This window comes from Homo sapiens, chromosome 17, assembly GCF_000001405.40.
Source record: "Homo sapiens chromosome 17, GRCh38.p14 Primary Assembly".
NCBI classification, from domain to species: Eukaryota; Metazoa; Chordata; class Mammalia; order Primates; family Hominidae; genus Homo; species Homo sapiens.
The window spans coordinates 68,491,800-68,507,213 of NC_000017.11; the positions used below are offsets into that span (position 1 = coordinate 68,491,800).

A 15,414-nucleotide genomic window follows, 5' to 3' on the forward strand; every position below is an offset into this window, starting at 1 on the left:
GAAAAAAGTAGGTGGGATCCTTAAAGGGCCAGAAGAAGGCCCTATGGAGGTGGACAAACTGCTTCAAAAGCCACCAGAAAACTTGGTCCTGTGGCATAACAGGAACAAAAAGCATATGGTAAGTCATAAGGAGCTGGCAGAGCCAGAGTTCCAGTTAGTGTCTGTCCTGGCCATGGGCCAGCAGACAGGGGAAGGGTTGGAGGTCATCCAAGCTGTTAGGTTAAAACCAAGTATAAATCTCAGGAGATATCCGCAAGGAAGCCTGTGTCTTTTCTGCCATGCAAAAGCCGCAGGCACATGAATAACAGGGAGCGTGTGTTTAAGAAGTCATGTGGCATTCGAAGTGAAAGCCAAGTGGCTGACTTGCTCCTGAGGCCGATGGTTCATTCGGCAGGTGCTCAAGGCCGCTTTTCAGGAGACACAGGAAAACAGAAGAACAGGCAGTGCGGGTTCTTGGGAAAGAGCCGATCTTATTTGAAAAAGCAGAGGACACCCCAGATATTGCACGGTTTGAGGCTTTAGCTTTACCACCCTCATGAGCCTCTTGTCCAGGAGGGTCATTAGTGCCTTAGTTCTACTTGGTGCAGACCCCAAGGTTCTTCCCACCCCTGCGAGCCAGCCGTCAGGGTGAGCAGAAAATCAGCCATGGGAGCAGAGCCACTGTGACTGAGAGGAATTGTTTTGGGCGTTGGTTAGTGAGCAGGAGAGCGAAAGGGAGAAGAAAACTGTACAGGGGTTGAATGCCTGCAGCTGAAGAAGGTGTAGAGATCTCTAACCACTAGGGAACATATGTGAGCTATGCAGCGCCAAAGTGTGTTAGCGCTTGGGAACGTATCCAAGTCACACAGCACCCAAGTATGCTACTGGCGGTGAATCTGTATCAGTATGAGTCTGCAGCAACCTCAATTCTTGCCTCCTCAGAAGAAAGAATTTGACTGAGGGGCATAAGGCAGAAGGAGAGACCAAGGCAAGTTTTAGAGCAGGAGTGCAAGTTTATTAAAAACTTTAGACTCCATCCAGGTCCCTACAAAGGACATGATCTCATTCCTTTTTTATGGCTGCATAATATTCCATGATGTATATGTATCACATTTTCTTTATCCAGTCTGTCATTGATGGACATTTAGGTTGATTCCATGTCTTTGTTACTGTGCATAGTGCTGCAATGAACATATGTGTGCATGTATCTTTATGACAGAATGATTTATATTCCTTTGGGTATATACCCAGTGATGGGATTGCTGGTCAAATGCTATTTCTGCCTCTAGGTCTTTGAGGAATTGCCACATAGACATGTGGTGGGGGGGAATAACACACATTGGGGCCTGTCAGAGGGGTGGGGGTTGTGGGGAGGGAGAGCATCAGGAAGAATAGCTAATGGATGCTGGGCTTGATACCCAGGCAATGGGTTGATCTGTTCAGCAAACCACCATGGCACACGTTTACCTATGGAACAAACCTACACATCCTGCCCATGTACCCCTGAACTTAAAAGTTGAAGGGAAAAGAAAGCTTTAGAGCAGGAACAAAAGGAAGGAAAATACACTTGGAAGAGGGCCAAGCAGGCAACTTGAAAGGCAAGTGCTGTGTAATATTTTTTAAAAGTTAAGTTGTCCATATAAAAAAATTAAATAGGGAGAAGCTCATGGAATAGCTGATTCCCCCCGCACGTGTTCTTACTTTTTTGCAGCCAAGCCTCGGAGTGGCCACTCCCGGCGCTGTAGCAATCGCTTCCCACTTTGTCTCCTTGCCAAACTATTCTTTGCACTGATGCCAAAGATATTTTTCAACTTGCAATTTTTTTTTTTTTTTGAGACAGAGTCTTGCTCTGTTACCCAGGCTGGAGTGCAGTGGCGTGATCTCGGCTCACTGCAACCTCCGCCTCCTGGGTTCAAGCGATTCTCCTGCTTCAGCCTCCCAAGAAGCTGGGATTACAGGTGCGTGCCACCATGCCCAGGTAATTTTTGTATTTTTAGTAGAGATGCGGTTTCGCCATGTTGGCCAGGCTGGTCTTGAACTCCTGACCTCATGATCTGCCTGCCTTGGCCTCCCAAAGTGCTGGGATTACAGGTGTGAGCCACGGCACCTGGCCCAACACGCAAATTTAATAGTATCTATTTCCTACTTAAAGCCCTTGAGTGGAAAAGCATGAAGATAAATGGAGAATGTGGCAACATCGTCCATCAAAAATTTTGAAAGAAAATTCTTCACAACGTTGTGAATAGTTTCTAGGTGGGAGGATTATGGATGATTTTAATTTTCTTTTTTGTATTTTTCTATATTGAAAATGTTTAAAAATATATAATCAAAAATGCCATTTACTGGCTCCCTGTTCTAGTTGCGGCACATTAAAGACAGCCAAAGAGCTTTAACACTCTTTCCGTTGACGGACTGGGTTTAATTCCCTTCCCCTTGAATCTAGGCTGGCCTAAGTAATTTGTTTGAGTAAGAAAATATGGGCCGAGTGTGGTGGCTCATGCCTGTAATCCCAGCACTTTGGGAGGCTGAGGTGGGTGGATCATTTCAGGTCAGGAGTTCGAGACCAGCCTGGCCAGCATAGAGAAACCTCATCTCTACTACAAAAATACAAAAATTAGCCAGGCATGGTGGTGGGAGCCTGTAATTCCCGCTACTTGGGAGGCTGAGGCATGAGAATCGCTTGAACCCAGGAGTTAGAGGTTGCAATGAGCAAGATGGCACTACTGTACTCCAGCCTGGGAGATAGAGGGAGACTTTGTCTCAAAAAATAAATAAAATAAAATAAAATAGCAGGAGTGCTGTGCTGGGACTTCAAGGGTAAGTTATAAAAAGCCATGCAGCTTTTGCCTGCCTCTCATGGAACATTCTGTCTGGTAGCCCTGACCACTGTGGAAAAGTTGGATACCCTGAGACTTCTGTAATGTAAGTGCCCGGCAAACGGTCTCAGCTGGGCCTGGTATATCAATCCTCCCCACCAAGCAGAAGCCACTTGGTATCCTTCAGACCAGCCCATCCTCCAGGTGAATGCCACCCCTGACCTCAGTCGACACCACATGGAACAGAAGAATCCCCCTAGCTGGGCCTGCCAAATGTCCTGCTCCACAAATGAGATATAATTATTGTTTTAAGCCTTATGTTAACTTGTTAGATAGCCGTAGATAATTGGAATTCTATTAAACAAAGAAAGTCTTCTTAGCAGGGCTAAGATCCTCCTAGATCTGGCCTCTGTCTACCTTCCCTTCCTACTGTACTCTTCTTTATATCTCAGGCTCTTTTTTTTGAGACTGGGTCTTGCTCTGTTTCCCAGACTCGAGTGTAGAATATTTTAGCCTTGAACTCCTGAGCCCAAGAGGTCCTCCCGCTTCAGCCTCCCGAGTAGCTAAGACTACAGATGTGTGCCACCATGCCCTGCTAATTTTTTTAAAAGTTTCTTTTGTAGAAATGGGGTCTCACTATATTTTCCAGGCTGGTTTCAAACTCCTGGCCTCAAGTGATCCTCCCACCTTGGCCTCCCAAAGTGCTGGGGTTACAGGTGAAAGCCATCATACCTGGCCCCAGGCTTCTTCTAGGTTCCTGAACCAACTATAGTCTTTACCTTGGTGCCATTGTCTATACCAGCCTCCTTTTCTTATTTATTCCATTTGCCTGGACTGACGTTCCCATCCTTACTCCATTCCTCTGTCCTCACCTGTCTATCACACCACCAGCTCCTCCATCTCCCTGGTAAATTCTTGTTGAGCTTTCAAAATTTACCTCTGATGGTGCTTCTGGAAAGACTTACTTCTTCCCATACAGGGTTCTATATCTTCTCTGTGCTAATGTTTGTATTGCACGTGCTTCTCTTATTATACTCATTTACTCATCACATACATTGTAGCACATTTGTTCTCATGTCTATTTCTTCTACTTATCTGTGTATTAGTTTCTTTTGATGCTATAACAAATTACAGAAAACTTAGTGCCTTAAAACCATACAAATTTATTATCTGGAATTCTGAACCTTAGAAATCCTAAATGGGTCTCAATAGGCTGAAAGCAAGATGTTGGCAGGGCTGCATCCTTTTCTGAAGGCTCTGGGGGAGAATCTGTTTTCTTGCCTTTTATAGCTTCTAGAGGCAGGCCACATTTCTTGGCTCCTGGTCCCTCTCTGCGTTTCCTTTCCTTTCCTTTCCTTTCCTCTCCTCTCTCCTCTCCTCTCTCCTCTCCTCTCCTCTCCTCTCCTCCCCTCCCCTCCCCTGCGCTCCCCTCCTCTCCCCTCCTCTCCTCTCCTCTCCTTTCTTTCTGATGGAGTCTCACTCTGTCACCCAGGCTGGAGTGCAGTGGCGCTATCTCGGCTCACTGCAACCTCCGCCTCCCGGGGTCAAGCAATTCTCCTGCCTCAGACTCCTGGGTAGCTGGAATTACAGGCGTGTACCACCACGCCTGGCTAATTTTTGTATTTTTTGTACAGATGTGTTTTCATCATGTTGGCCAGGCTGGTCTTGAACTCCTGACCTCAAATGATCCACCTCCCTTGGCCTCCCAAAGTGCTGGGATTACAGGCATGAGCCACTGCGCCCGGCCCTCTCTGCATTTTCAAAGCCAGCAATGGCCAGATGAGTCTTCCTAATGCTGCATCACTCTGATACTAGCTTTCTATCTTCCTCTTCCACATGGAAGGACCCTTGTGATTACACCGGCCACGTCCAGATAATCCAGGACAATCTCTGTATTTTAAGATCATCTGATTAGTAACCTTAAATTCATCTACAATATTAATTCCCATTTGCCATGTACTGTAACACTTCAACATGTTTTTGGGCAGTAGGACGTGGACGTTCTTGCAGGGGTCATCATTTGGCTGACTGCAGTCTGTGAGCTCCTATGGTAAAAAGGCTGTGAACTATGTATCACTCTCCTCGAATGTAGAACAGAAGTCTGCTATGTAGTATATGAGGAAGACATGATATTTGTTCAAATGGAGTTTATATTCTAAAAGAAGGGGTCAACAAATTTGGATCTATCACCTGTTTTTGTACAGCTCTTAAGCTTAGTTTTTACTTTTTTTTTTTTTTTTTTTTTTTTTGAGACAGGGTCTCACTTTGTCACCCAGGCTAGAGTGCAGTGGTGCAAACACAGCTTACTGCACTTGACCTCCTGGGCCCAAGTGATCCTCCTGCCTCAGCCCCACAAATAGCTGGGACTATAGGCACACACCACCATGTCTGGCCCATTTTTGTATTTTTTGTGGAGACAGGGTTTTGCCATGCTGCTCAGGCTGGTCTCGAACTCCTGAGCTCAAGTGATCTGCCTGCCCAGGCCTCCCAAATTTCTGGGATTACAGGCGTGAGCCACTGTGCCTGGCTGTATATTTTTCAGTGGCTAAACAAGCTCGAATGGAGAATGATATTTTGTGACATAAAAATTAGATGAAATTTACTTTAAAGTGTCCATAAGTCAACTTTTATTGGAACACAGCCATGCCCATTCATTTATTTGTTGTCTATGCTGCTTTCACACTATAGTGGTGAAGGTGAGTGGTTGCAACAAAGACCTTATGGCCACAAAGTCTAAAATAATTACCTATTTGACCGTTGACAGAAAAAAAATTGCTAGTCCCCGTTCTAGAGGGAACTTTAGAACTTTCTGTGATTGTGGGAATATGCTGTATCTGGGCTGTCCAATATGGTAGTCACTAGCTACAGCTGGCACTTGAAATGAGGCTAGTACCCCTAAGGAAAAGACTTTTAAGCTTTATTTGATTATAATTAATTTAGATTTGAAGAGCTCCCTGTGGCTAGTGGCTACTGTACTGACAGCCCTAGGAGATGAGATGATAATTATGAAGATGCTGATAAAAATGTGATAATTTACCATGTGCCAAGTGCCGTGCTAAGAGAACAAGGATGATGCTCTTATGATTCTCATTTTACAGATGAAAAAAAACTGAAGCTTAGATGGATCAAGTATGTTGCCCAAGGTTACACAGCCAGAGAGGGGCAAGCTAGAACCCAGGGAGGTTGACTCCTGAGCTGTTGCTCTAACCATTAGGCTATGCTGCCTCACGAAAGACAAGACACATAGACATTGAATTGTAACATGTGAGAGAATATAATGAGTGCTATGAAAGAAGCAACAACAAGGCAGAGAAATAATTAAGGGGAAAAACTTCTGACCAGGGAGGGAAAAGACACCTTCTTCATGGGTGCCAAACTACTTAAGATGGGCTCTAAAATTTGGGCAGGATTTTGATTGACACTTACATGCTTGTAAGCTAGATGGATGCAACCACCTAAACACAGGTGTGATGGGGGAAGTAAAGGGGGGGTTAAGGGATTGGAAAGCAGTCCACTTTGAAAATTCATGCCACACCTTTGCTAGCAAAGGGCCACAAGTTTTCTTGGCAGCTGGTGCACTTCCTCTTTTCTCTCCGTAACGACCATGTAAATGACCTTGCCTTCGTTTTCACTTTGACTGGAAGTTTAGCTTCAAACTTGAGCTTAACTTGAGCAAGAGCAAGGAACCACACAGCTTGAATATTTGAGTTTCTTCTCCTTTCCTCCCCAAAAGCTCAATTTCTGCTCTGATGAGTGTTTTCTCTGGTCTTAATATTTGTTTTTATCCATATTTTAACATCATTTCATTACGTATTTATTTCTTGCAATGCCCCTGGGTCGTTTTGTGAATACGTGTGGGTATAAATGACAGAATAGGTTCTGGTTGTGGGAGGATGTGAACCCAGGGAGATAAATTGGAAAAGATAAGTTGGTGTCAGGCACTGGGTACAGTCAGGGTCAAGGAAGCTGGTGGGTGCTCCTGCCTTTGAGAAATAGCCTGAGCCAGTTAGGTGCCATCCCCATGCCCTTATCTCCTGCAGCCTTGGCTGCAATCCTGGCAGCTCCCCACTCAGTTCTTGGAAACCTGGCAATTGGCCCTAGTTCCATCCCACGCCACTGCCCGCTTGCTTCCTGTGCTGGCTCTGATGTCTGTTGACATCTTCTTCGAGTGTTAACTCCCAAACATCCTCAGTTTCAGTCTTGTTATTGGCATCAGGGGACACACTGGCATCCTACAATCTCTCTAAAGTACAGGCCAATCAGATCCCTCTCCTCTTTAAAGGTCTTCTGTAGCTCTCAGGTGGAAGTCCAAGTTCAGTAGCTTTGCTTAGGGTCCTCGTTCACACCCCAGCTCTGCCTCTTCCTCACTACATGACTTGGGCAAGTTGTGTAACTTCTGTATGCCGGAGTTTCCTTATCTGTAAAATAGGAACAACAATAGTACGTACCTCAAAAGGTGCTGTGAGGGTAGGGTGTGGGAATCTATGTGAAACCTCACAACGGTTCCAGGCACAGAAGATCTCTCCATGTGTTATTGTCACTGTCATGAGCTCTTCAGACTCACCTCTTGCCAATGCCCTTCACACAGTTTCTGGCTTCACATCCAGTGGAATTACTTGTAGTTTCCTAAATGTCCTCCAGCCTGAATTTGCTCATCTTTGGGTGTTCTGCACATTTCCTCTGCTGGAAAGTGTTCCTTCTCCCTCTTAACCTATTCTTCCTCATTCTTCTTATATCAGAGAGCAGGGATGTCATGGAAGTAGAAGGGAGGAAAAGAGAGAGAGAGAGAGAGAGAGAGAGAGAGAGAGAGAGGAGGGATATAAGTAAGCAAGACAAACTCAGCAACAAGGGATGAGAAAATATTCAGAAATTGGGTGCTGATTTGCATTCCAGAATCCAAATCTAGGAGCAGGCAGGGCTGGGACAGCAAGCCAGGCTTCCGACCAGATGGGCTATCCATCAGGGTTGCTTACTACAGCTCACTAATGACCATTATTAAGACCATTGCATGTAAAATGTTTATTTCAAGGTGGAAAATGCACGTTGGGTTTCTCAGAATAGGTGTTGGAATTTCTACTACAATTTTCTTCAGTATACAGAGGAGAATTGCTTGTGTTGGTCCTCTAGAGTTAAGATTGCCACCGTGCTATAGAGTAATGAGTTGTAAGTGGTGGCCACTGATCACAGCTCTTTGCTGTGGGCTGCCACCCCAGCCAGTGGTGTAGGTGAATCAGCGTTGGTCAAAGTATGGCCAGCCAGCCCAGGCTCGCCATGCAGTTACGACTTTTGACTAACTGACCACAGTCACTCTTTCATGGCCTTCCCTTCTTGGATGACATGAAGACCATACATTAACTAACAGGTCACTTCCTAATCATCCAAACAGGAACCTAGAGATTTTTATACCCAGGACAGGATATGGGACATATATCAGCCAGAGTTCTTATTTGCAAACAAAGAAACATAACCTAGGTGATCTAAGTAGAATCAGAATTTATTGATTATATACTGGATGACTCACAGACTTCTGAGAAGGTTTGAGAACAAGGCTTGAGGGCTGTACCAATTGGAAACAGTTCTCAAAATCACACTGATATGGTTTGGCTGTGTCCCCACCCAAATCTCATCTTGAATTGTAGCTCCCATAATTCCCACGTGTGTGGGAGGGACCAGGTGGGAGATAATTGAATCATGGGGGCGGTTCCCCCATACTATTCTTGAGGTAGTGAATAAGTCTCACGAGATCTGATGGTTTTATAAGGGGAAACCCCTTTCACTTTGTTCTCATTTTCTCTCTTGTCTGCCTCCATGTAAGACATGCCTTTTGCCTTCCGCCATGATTGTGAGGCCTCCCAGCCACATGGAACTGTGAGTCCATTAAACTTCTCTTCCTTTGTAAATCACCCAGTCTCGAGTATTTTTTTTTTTTTTTTGAGATGGAGTTATTTTGCTCTTGTTGCCCAGGCTGGAGTGCAATGGCGCGATTTTGGCTCACTGCAACGTACACCACCTGGGTTCAAGTGATTCTCCTGCCTCAGCCTCCTGAGTAGCTGGGATTACAGGTGCCCACCACCACGCCCGGCTAATTTTTTTTCTATTTTTAGTAGAGATGGGGTTTTACCATGTTGGTTAGGCTGGTCTTGAACTCCTGACCTCAGCTTATCCACCCTCCTTGGCCTCCCAAAGTGCTGAGATTACAGGCATGAGCCACGGCGCCCGGCCTCAGGTATAACTTTATCAGCAGCATGAAAATGGACAAATATACACACCGTGAAAGTGCTCAGGTAAGGACACTATTGAGGATTTGTTCCCTGAGATGTGAGTAGAAAAGCAGTTAATGGAAACAACGCAGTTTTCACATTCTGTATATTTTCCCTGTGCCTTTTGATACAAGTTCCAAAGGAACATTTAACAGCATGACAGCTTCCTGTTTATTTATTCTCTCATCTCTTACTGGTTGGTCAATGCACATAAGTCCATGTGGAGAGAGCTCGGAGCATACTCCTCCTTGACGGTGGATCAGAAGTGTCATCTTGGTTTCCAGTATCCTGCCTGAGCTGTGAATTGCCCTGACTCTTCATTTCTCACTCTGACTCTCTGCAGCATCTGTCTGCTTCTCAGAACACTTGCTTCCCTTGGCTTCTGTGACCTCCTTCCTCTCCAGGTTTGCCACCTGCTTTCTAAATGTTCCTTCTGGGCTCCCTTCCTCCCTTTAACCTCTCACTGTTAGCCTTACTCATGGTTCTATATTCAGCTGCCTTTCTTCTTCCCACTTCTCTCTCAATAGCCTGTCCCAGGAGGTGCTGCATTCACTCCTATGGCGTTATAATCAATAAGCTGATGATTTCAAAACCCTCAGCATTCTCTCTCTCTCTTTTTGAGACACGGTCTTGCTATATTGCCCAGGCTGGAGTGCAGTGGTATAATCATGGCTCACTGCAGCCTTGAACTCCTGGGCTCAAGCCATCCTCCCACCTCAGCTTCCTGTGTAGCTAGGACTACACATGTGCATAACCATGCCTGGCTAATTTTTAAATTTTTTTGTAGAGAGGGACATCTCACTATCTTGCCTAGGCTGGTCTCAAACTCCTGGCCTCAAGTGATCCTCCCTCCTCAGCTTCCTAAAGTGCTGGGATTACAGGCATGAGCCACCATGCCCAGAACTCAGCTCTCTTAAACTTCCGACCAGCAAGGAAGCAACTAGACGGCTCTTTGTGGATGTCCAGCAGCCCTTCAAACTGAACACATTCCAAAATGGAACCCTTGCTGCTTCTTCCTGTGTTCTCTGATTCAGTGAATAGCAGCAGAATCACTGAGTTAGAAATCTAGGTATCATCTTTGAGTCCTTCCTGTCTCCTCCTTATCCTTCACATCAATCCCTAGGTTCTCTCGCTCTTATTTTCTTAATATCTCTCAAATCTGCCCAGCTTCATTCACCTGCATCAAAATCTTTTAGTTTTAGCTATCATCATCCCTTACTTGGATCATTGCAACAGACTCCTGAGAAGTGTTCAGGCTCCAGACTCCAGAGAGCCCTTGCAGTCCCTACTCATGTCCTTGCTTCATTAGAACCCAAAAGATAAAGTGTGCACTTGGTCACATCTCTTCCCTGCATGAGGCCATTCAGTAAATCCCCACAGCTATAAGACAATTTAAACTTCTAAGGCAGGGGTTGGTAAGCTATGGCTCATGGGTTGAATCACCTGTTTTCATGCAGCATAAATGCTAAGAAATTTTTTACATTTTAAAATTATTGAAAAAAAAAGTCAAAGAATGTGACACATGAAAATTATATGGACCTTATCCAAAATATACAAAGAACTCTTAAGCTCAACAAGAGAACAAACAACTCAATTAAAAAATGGCTAAAATGGGGCCAGGCACAGTGGCTCACGCCTGTAATCCCAGCACTTTTGGAGGCTGAGGCAAGTGGATCACCTGTGGTCAGGAGTTCAAGACCAGACTGACCAACATGGTGAAACCCCCGTCTCTACTAAAAATACAAAAATTAGCCAAGGTTGGTGGTGGGCGTCTGTAATCCCAGCTATTTAGGAGGCTGAGGCAGGAGAATCGCTTGAACCTGGGAGGTGGAGGTTGCAGTGAGCTGAGATTGCACCATTGAACTCCAGCCTGGGCAACAAGAGCGAAACTTCATCTCAGGAAAAAAAAAAAAAAAAAAAAAAAAGATATTTTGAATCTGGTTCTGAGCTAAAGTTGAGTAAATTCTTAGCTAAGAAAAAATTGGAAATCCATCATCTATATTAGCAACAGATTCTCAGAGTAAATTGTTAACTTCTATGATTTCTGATAATCGAGCTGGACTTGATCATACAAGTTAGTCTAATAATGTATTCAACCAAAATATAGACTTTATTGGTCTGATTCAGAAGCATTCATGCTCACAAGCTTTGGGAAAGTGAAAAATAATAAAATCATTTTGGATTAAAAAAGAAATGGCCAAAGACCTAAACAGACACCACCTCAGAGAAGACTCACAGATGGCAAATAAGCACAAAAAAAGATGCTTACCAGCATATGCCATTAGGGAACTATAAATTAAAACAAGGAGGAACCACTACACATTTAACAGGATGCCTAAAATCCAAAGCACTGACAAATGCTGGCAAGGATGTAGAGCAACAGGAGCTCTCATTCATTGCTGGTGGGAATGCAAGATGGTACAGGGTACACCTACTTTAGAATCCAGTTTGGCAATTTTTTTTTACAAAGCAAAAGGTACTTTTGCCATGTGATCCAGAAATTGAACTTCTTGCTATTTACTCAGAGAAGTTGCACATGGATGTTTATAGCAGCTTTATTCATAATTGCCAACACTTGGAAGCAAACGAGATGTCCTTTAGTAAATATGGATAAATTGTGGTACATCTATACAGTGGAATATTATTCAGTAATAAAAAGAAATGAGCTATCCAGTCACAAAAAGACAAGGAGGAATCTTAATTGCATGTTACTAAGTGAAGCAGTCAGTCTAAAAAGGCTACATAGTGTATGCTTCCAACTATGTGGCATTCTGCAAAAAGCAAACATATGGAGACAGAATATACAGAATATATAAGGAGCTTGAACAACTATATAGGAAAAAATCTAATAATCCAATTTAAATATGGGCAAAAGATCTGAATAGACATTTCTCAAAAGAAGACATGCAAATGGCAAACAGGCATATGACAAGATGTTCAACATCACTGATCATCAGAGAAACGCAGATCAAAACTACAATGAGGTATCATAGCACCCCAGTTAAAATGGCTTTTATCCAAAAGACAGGCCATAACAAATGCTGGCAAGGATGTGCAGAAAAGGGAAACTTTGTACTCTGTTGGTGGGAATGTCAATTAGTACAACCACTAGGAAGAACAGTTTGGAGGTTCCTCAGAAAGCTAATAATAAAGCTACCATATTATCCAGCAATCCCACTGCTAGGTACATACCCCAAAGAAAGGAAATCAGTATATCAAAGAGATATCTGCACTCCCATATTTACTGTAGCATTATTCACAATAGCCATGATTTGGAAGCAACCCAAATGTCTGTCAATAGATGAGTGGATACAGAAATGTGGTACAAGGCTGGGCATGGTGACTCACACCTGTAATCCCAGCACTTTGGGAGGCCAAGGCAGGAAGATCATTTGAGGTCAGGAGTTTGAGACCAGCCTGACCAACATGATGAAACCCCATCTCTACTAAAAAAAAAAAAAATTTAGCCAGGCATGGTGGTGCACACCTGTAATCTCAGCTACTTGGGAGGCTGAGGCATGAGAATCACTTGAACCCAGGAGGCGGAGGTTGCAGTGACCTGAGATCGTGCCACTGCACTCCAGCCTGGCGACAGAGTGAGGTTCTGTCTCAAAAAAAGACATGTGGTACAAATACATAATGGAGTACTATTCAGCCATAAAAAAGAATGAGATGTATTTGCAACAACATGGAAACAACTGGAGTTCATTTTGTTAAGTGAAGTAGGCCAAGCACAGAAAAACTTCACATATTCTCACTTATTTGTGGGAGCTAAAAATTAGAACAACTGGACTGATGGAGATAGAGAGCAGAAGGATGGTTACCAGTGGCTGGGAAGTGTAGCGGTGGAGGGTGGAGGGGATGTAAGGATGGTTAATGGGTAAAAACTAGTTAGAAAGGATGAATAAGACATAGTATTTGATAGCACAATAGTAAAAAATAATTTAATTGTACATTTAAAAATAATTAAAAGAGTATAATTGTAAAGGATAAATGCTTTGAGGTGATGGATACCCCAGTTACCCTGATGTGATTATTACCCATTGTATGCCTGTATCAAAATATCCCATATACCCCATAAATACATACACCTTCTATGTACCCACACAAATAAAAAATAGAGAGAAAAACATAGGGAGAAAGTATAGAAATTCAGTGGTTGGACAGGCGTGGTGGCTCACATCTGTAATCCCAGTAATTTGGGAGGCCAAGGCAGGCCTTCTTGAGCCCAGAAGTTCAAGACTAGCCTGGGCAATGTGGCAAAACCCTGTTTCTACCCCCCAAAATACAAAAACTAGCTGAGCATGGTGGTGTGCACCTGTAGTCCCAGCTACTTGGGAGGCTGAGGTGGGAGGATGGCTTGAGCCCGGAGGTTGCAGTGAGCTAAGATCATGCCACTGCACTCCAGCTTAGGTGGCAGAGCCAGACTCTGTCTCAAAAAATATATATGTAGATAATAAAATAAAACGAAAATCAGTGGTTATCAGGGCCTTAGGGGAAGGAGAGAGGGATAAACAGTGGACCACAGGGGATATTTGTGGCAGTGAATCTCTTCCACAGGATGCTGTAATGGTAGATGTAAATGTAATTACACATTTATCAAAACTCATAGAATATACAACAGAAAGAGTGAACTCTAATGTAAACTATGGACTTCAGTTAATAATAATGTATCAGGCCAGGTGAGGTGGCTCAGGCTTGTAATCCTAGCACTTTGGGAGGCCCAAGTGGATGGACTGCTTGAGCTCAGGAGTTTGAGACCAGCCTGGGCAACATAGTGAGACCCTGACTCTACAAAAAATACAAAAATTAGCTGGGCGTGGTGGTGTATGCCGGTAGTCTCAGCTACTCAGGAAGCTGGGATAGGAGACTGGCTTGAGCCCAGGAGATGGGAGGTTGCAGTGAGCTGAGATTGAGATTGTGCCACTGCACTCCAGCCTGGGTAACAGAGCCAGATCCTGTTTCACACACACAGAAGTATCAACATTGGCTCTTCAAGTATAACAAATGTACCACACGAATGCAAGATGTCAATATAAGGGAAAACCATGTATGGAGGGTTGATGAGGTGGTATCTGGGAACTCTCTGTATTTTCTGCCAATTTTTTTGTAAACCTAGAATTGCTAAAACCAAAAGTCTATTAATTAGGATAATTACATCAATTTCAAATTCAGTGTTCATAAATTTTTATCAGAAGACATCCACGCCCATTCATTTACATATTGCCTATGGCCACTTTTGTGATACAATAACCAAACTGAGAAGTTGCCACAGTGCCCAGATGGCTTACAACATCTAAAGCATTTACTATCTGCCCCTCCCCCCTACCACAGGCCACTGATCACTCTTCCAGCCTCACACCATCTTCCATCTTATCCTTAGGCCATCTTGAAAAATATTTTCCTTAGAAATCCATGCTCTCTTGCCCATTAGTTCCTCTACCTGAAATACCAGGCAGGACTAACTGGGTACCATTATATCCCAGACACCTTTTTTTGGCTGGCTTTTTCTGATCACTGATGCCTGAGTTAGATGCCCTTTCAATGTACCCCCCCAATCCCACCCCCATAATTTGGCCATTTTATTGAAAGAACTCATGTTATTGCTGGCCCCTTCAGACTGTGAAATTTTTTTTTTCTTTTTTTTGAGACAGAGTGTCGCTCTATCACCCAGGCTGGAGTGTAGTGGCCCGATTTCGGCTCACTGCAACCTCCGCCTCCCTGGTTCAAGCAATTCTTCTGCCTCAGCCTTCTGAGTAGCTGGGACTACAGGCGTGCACCACCACACCCGGCTAATTTTTGTATTTTTAGTAGAGACGGGGTTTCACCATATTGGCCAGGCTGGTCTCAAACTCCTGACCTCGTGATCTGCCCACCTCAGCCTCCCAAAGTGCTGAGATTACAGGTGTGAGCCACCGCACCTGGCCCAGACTGTGAACTTTTAAGTTTGAGGTCATGGCTTATTTATCTCTGCATGCCTGTTACCTAGTACCTGCTAGTATCCACTAGTGTGGATGATCAGGAATCATTTTATAAGGGATTCTAAACTTGGAGTCCATACATGGATGGGCTTCAGGATCTGTGACCACCTTGAAATGGGATGAAAAAGGCTGTGTGTGTATGTTTGTTTGGGCTTATTTCCTGGGGAGAAAGCCCATTGTTTTCATGAGCTTCTCAAAGGGAACCATGACCAGCCTCCAGCAAAGAAAAAAATGAAGAATTCCTGGAAGAGTATAGGTACATGATCAGTACAGTGCCAACCTGGATACATTAACAAGATTTGTTGACTTTGTCAGATTGACAAAAACAAAGAAAGTTACTGATCCTAGTCAACGATCATACCATCCATGACACAAAGA

The 15,414-nt window shown here is 44.0% G+C and overlaps 1 protein-coding gene across 1 annotated transcript in view, besides 1 other annotated feature; it reads left to right on the forward strand.

Annotated features, from left to right (window-relative positions):
* Window positions 1-15,414, forward strand: part of PRKAR1A (protein kinase cAMP-dependent type I regulatory subunit alpha) — a 137,694-nt gene that overhangs the window by 78,177 nt on the left and 44,103 nt on the right. The gene's annotated exons all lie outside the window — the stretch shown is intronic.
* Window positions 6,748-6,931: a silencer, noted in NCBI's record as "fragment chr17:66494688-66494871 (GRCh37/hg19 assembly coordinates)". NCBI's record gives its function as "represses an EF-1alpha promoter that drives an FKBP-Casp9 reporter gene in an ReSE screen in HepG2 liver carcinoma cells {active_cell/tissue: HepG2}" and the evidence as "EXISTENCE:reporter gene assay evidence [ECO:0000049][PMID:32094911]".